A 5,473-nucleotide genomic window follows, 5' to 3' on the forward strand; every position below is an offset into this window, starting at 1 on the left:
AGAGTTGAAGAGTACTGGAGTATATATAGTAAGTATTAAACAAATTCTGACTAAAATTTTAATTCTACCCAATAATGTTCTTTGAATAGAAATTATCAACTCTATACAAACATAGTCAGGAATATCTTGGGTCCCATGGAGCATCAAGTCGCCATAGTGACAAGACAGAGAAACATCTTAAGAAGACCTCAACATGATCACATATTGTTAAAATGCTTCTGTTGTTGGAGATTACTCTTGCCTGAGTTTGTCCTTTAGCTCAAATCCCACTCTCAATGTGAACTGGTGTCTGAGTTTTACAGAGAGGGTCAGGTATAATGAAAGCTCATGTAATGTTTTTGTATTCAAAATGTCTATAAGACTCTGGAGGATAAAAACTTGAATGCAAGGTGTTACTTCATGATACAAATAACATGAGGGAAAGGGATTCCTCTAAAAATGTTTTTTTGGAAAGAAGTTTATAGTGCATGCACTCTTTTTCTTGTTCTGCTATTTGGGTTGGGCACTTTGCAGCTAGCTTCTCGTATTATACCACACTAACATCAAAGGACTATTCTCCAGGTGTACATTTAAAAAGAAACAACCTGGGCCTTACATTTAGCCCTATCTTTATGAAATTGGGTTTTGATTTTAAGGAAAATATATCATATTAAAGACATATTTATTCTACACCCTTCCTTGGAATCTACCAAAAGTACCAAAAACAGTTTAAAATTTAAATAATGTAATATCTACAAGTTCAGAAATGAGTGACAAAACAAATAAATAATTATGGGAACATACACACAGTCTACTGATTTCAATAAAATGTGGACCAAAATGAGGGATAAAGCAACAAACCAGTACATCTTAAAGTAACACAAAAGATCTGTAAAGACTCTTCCAAAGACATTTTACGTAAAATAAGGAGGAATGAGAGTATGTGAAGTCCACAAAAGACTCAGGGGATACCTCTAAATAAGTCAAAGTCAACACTGCAAATAGCATAAGAAAAACTGCCTCTGAGGCTAGGATAACTTGACCTCAGAAACCATCTGGAGGTAATATGAGGAGGAGAAGAATCAAAGAGAAACACCGGCCAGATTTGCAGCTAAAAATGAATGCAGCTGAGCAGAAATAAATCCAGAATGATTACTTCTAAAACTCTTGTAAGCCAAGTAACTCCACTGAAACCCAAGGTAAACTCTCACTAGTTCACCTGATCATGCTGAAAGGAAATGTGCCAGATAACGATGTTGAATTGATGAGTAGAAGTTGTAAAGTAGCATTCCTTTAAAGAACAATTAATACCAATTTTTCTCAAACTATTCCAAAATTTAAAGCAGAGAGAATTTTTCGTAACTCATTCTATTAAGCCAGCATAACCCTGGTACCAAAATCAGAAAAAGACACAGCAACGAAAAGGCAACCACAGTTCAACATTCCTGATGAACACAGATGCAAAAATCTTTTTTTTTTTAAACTTAACTTGTCATACTTTGTTATTAATATACAAAGACAACAAACTTTTAAAACATTACATTTACTAAGATTCTGGCAATAAGACACAGCATACCAGGCTTGCCACTCAACTTGTTATTGTAAGTCTCAGCTTCAATATGAAGCCGTTTTTTTTTTTTAATCAAAACCCTGCTTTTTACATGCTAAATATCTTGGCAAGTAGGCCATTAAACATAGTAATGAACTTAAGACAGCAAGAGTGAGGAGTTAACAAAAGCTAAACATTGCAGCCTAAACAAAATTCATACAAAAAAATAAACTATCACTAGTTACATAAAATTTTCCTGACTGGTTAAAACTTAGTATAAAACATGCATTTTAGAATCTTTAGCTATCAAGTTCAAAAAGTACCAATGTCTATTTAAAATAATTCCTCTCCCAAGCCAAAGTGTAGTCAAAATTAATTCAAATGACATAACACATTCTAATGCTAAAAAATATTCATTATTACTGAAGTGGAGGTAAATCCCAGAGCTTTTGGGGCTTTCTCATGCTGCAAATGGCTGTTTCTCTGGTTCACTCAAAGCAGCATATGACAGCATCCAAAGATGACACTAAGCTCAGTAAAGGGCAAGACTGCTGGTAGCCAGCTCTGACCTCCCCGTGAAGCATGGCTACTGTGTCCATAATACAGGATGTGTGAGGATCAAAGGCACACTATTCTGCTAGCTAAAGAGATAGCAAACCACCCCCCAACCCTAAAAGCTCCTTCCCCAGGTAAATAAAAGTATACGAGGGGAAAAAATTAAAATACACTTATCTACAGAGTAAGGGTTTTGAAATATTAATGTAATCCCTCCTTCAAAAATTCTAACTAGAGTCATCTGGTCATTTCTGATTACATCTTAAAGATGTATCCAGATTCAATTTCTGTTGGTTTATCCTTAGACGCTTCTAGTCAAAAGTATTAATTTTATTCCCAAATATCTTAACCACTAGTACGACTGCAGTGTATTATCTCCCAGAGTTATCAAGCACTGGAAGAGAAAAAAATAGATGTTCAAGCAGCAGGCAACATTTATGGCCCTTTCACACAGTGGCATCTGAGTGGCTACTGAATAGTCCAGGAATAATTCTAAAAACAAGAAAATTCATGCATTTTAGTAAATATGTTGTAGTTTTCACAGTTGAAATTTCCTCAGACATTGCACTTTCTTTATAAGGGAATCCTGATTTTTCTTAATGTTACGGTGAGTCAGGACTTGAACTAGCAGCCTTCTTTTTCTTCTTCTTACTGTGTTTCTTATGCTTCTTTTTCTTTTTTGTTTTCTCCTCCTCAATATATTCTGATTCTGACAAGGACTCAGATGATAAAGGTTTATCTTCAGAATACATCTTTCTCTTTTTGCTGAGTCCTTTAATATGCTTTTCTTTCTCAGTTCCATCTTTTGACTTCTTTTTCTTTTTTAAACTATCCTTACTGTCTGATTCAGTTTCTGACATGGAGCTTTCAGAAGATTTATGTGAACGGTTCTTCTTTTTCTTTCTCCATTTTCCTTGTTTCTTATCCTCATCTTCAGAATCAGAAGAACTGCTGGAAGAATCAGAGCTTGATGAAGAAGAAGATGAATACCTACCAGATTTCTTCTTTTCTTTTTTCTTTCTCTGTCTTTTTTTGGATGAGCTCTCACTTCCACTTAACAATTTCTCCCTGTGTTTTTCCAGTTCTTTCTTCCAGTTCTCATTCATTTTTTCTTCAAATTCAGCCAAAGCCTTGGAGCCTTTCTTTTTCTTTTCTAGTTGCTCTTTTACTTCTTCCCAGGTAGGCCTTGGTCGATTCAGATAATCCTGTATTGTTGGCCCTGAAGACTGGATTGGACCCCTTGATCTCGCCATTGCTATTGGGTTCATATAGGCCACCCGATTGTCCCGCTTCCCCATGGTGCTGGATCGAGCGCACAGTAGCACGCCGAGGGAAACCGGGCCAGAGAGACTGCCGAAGAGGGCCTGCCGCAGGTCCTCTTGCCGCCTCGCAAAAATCTTAAACAAAATGCCAACAAACCAAATCCAACAACACATCAAAACAATAATATACCACAGTCAAGTGGGATTTATCCCAGGAATGCAAAGATAGTTCAAATTATGCAAATTACTAAACGTTATACATTACATCAATAGAATGAAGGACAAAAATCACATGATCATCTCAATTCAATAGATTCAGAAAAAGATTTTGATAAGATTTATTCTGACTTCATGATAAAAACTCTTAATAAATTAGGTATAGAAGGAAAGTTCCTCAACATCATAAAGTCCATATATGACAAACCCTTAGCTAACATCATACTGAACGGAGAAAAAACTGAAAGGCTTTCCTCTAAGAACTGGAATAAGATAAGGATACCCACACTAACCATTCATATTTAGCATAGTACTAGAAGTCCTAACTAGAACAATCTGGCAAAAAGGAAAAAAAATGGCATTCATATTGAAAAAGAGCAAGTCAAATAGTCTCTGTTTGCAGATGACATGATCTTATCTTATATTTCAAAAAGCCTAGGGCATTGGACTTGGAAAAGTTTTTATGAATAACACCTCCAAAGCATAGGCAACAAAAGTGAAGACAAATGAAATTATATTAAACTAAAAACCTTCTGCACAACAAAGGAAACAATCAACAGGGTGAAAAGAGAACCTGCAGAATGGAGAAAATATTTGCAAACTACTCATTTGACTGGAGATTAATATCTAAAAAGCTTCTGCAAAACAAAGGAAGCAATCAAAAGAGTGAAAAGAGAATCTGCAGAATGGAGACAGTATTTGCAAACTACTCATTTGACAGGAGCTTAGTATCTAAAATATACAAGGAACTGAAATATCTAGATAATAAAGAAAACAATCTGATTAAAGAATGGACAAATGATCTGAACAGACATTCCTCAAAAGAAGATATACAAATGGCCAACAGGTATATGAAAAAAATGCTCAATGTCACTAATTATCAGGGAAATGCAAATAAAAACGACAATGAGGTATGATCTTACTCCATTTAAAATGGCTATCATCAACAAGATGATAAACAACAAATGCTGCAAGGATGGGGAGAAAAGGGAACTCTTATCCACTGTTGATGGGAATGGAGAATATTACAGCCACTTTGGAGAACAGTATGAAGATTCCTCAAAAAAAAACTGTAAATAGAACTACCATATGATCCAGCAATCCTACTACTGGGAATTTATCCAAAAAAAGGAAATTATTATATCAGAGACACATCTGAACCCTCATGTTTACTGCAGCACTATTCAGAGTAGCCAAGATATGGACTCAGCCTAGATGTTCAACAACAGATGAACAAATAAAGAAAATGTGATGCATATACCTCACAAAATAAAATTCTGTCATTTGCAGCAACATAGATTGAACTGTAGGACATTATGTTAAGTAAGATAAGCCAGGAATAGAAAGTTAAACATTGCACATTCTCACTCGAATGTGGAAGCTAAAAAAAGTTGATCTCATAGAAGTAAAAAGTAGAACAGAGGATACTAGAGGCTGGGAAGGACAGGGGGAAGGGAGGAATAGAGAGAGATTTGTTGAACAATACAAAATAATGGCTAGATAATTTTAGTGTTCTATACCACTGTAGGATGACTATAGAGAGCAATAACATGTTATATAGTTTTAAATGGCTAGAAAGAGGATATTGAACATTCCCAACACAAATAAATGATCAAGGTTTGAGATGATGGATATGCTAATTACACTTATCTGATCACTATACATAATATATATCAAAAAATCACTAAGTACCCCATTATCTGTACAATTATTATTGTCAATATAAAAAAGGAAATTTTAAAACAGAAAAAAATACACTTTGAAAGAATTATAAACTAAATCAGACTTCTAAAAAGCAAAAACTGAAGAAAGAAATAGTGAAATAAAATCTTCAATATGTTGTGAGAAAAAGCTACATGTCTATAGTTATAAACCCAGAAAATCCTTATTTAAGAAAACATAAAATAAATAT

General features: G+C 34.6%; 1 pseudogene across 1 annotated transcript; it reads right to left on the reverse strand.

Annotated features, from left to right (window-relative positions):
* Positions 1-1,453: 1,453 nt before the first annotated feature.
* FAM133DP (family with sequence similarity 133 member D, pseudogene) lies at positions 1,454-3,476 on the reverse strand (annotated as a pseudogene). The gene has a single exon (NR_034169.1). The product of NR_034169.1 is annotated as a family with sequence similarity 133 member D, pseudogene (transcript).
* Positions 3,477-5,473: the final 1,997 nt, after the last annotated feature.

The sequence above is a fragment of the Homo sapiens genome, chromosome 2 (genome assembly GCF_000001405.40).
Source record: "Homo sapiens chromosome 2, GRCh38.p14 Primary Assembly".
NCBI classification, from domain to species: domain Eukaryota; kingdom Metazoa; phylum Chordata; class Mammalia; order Primates; family Hominidae; genus Homo; species Homo sapiens.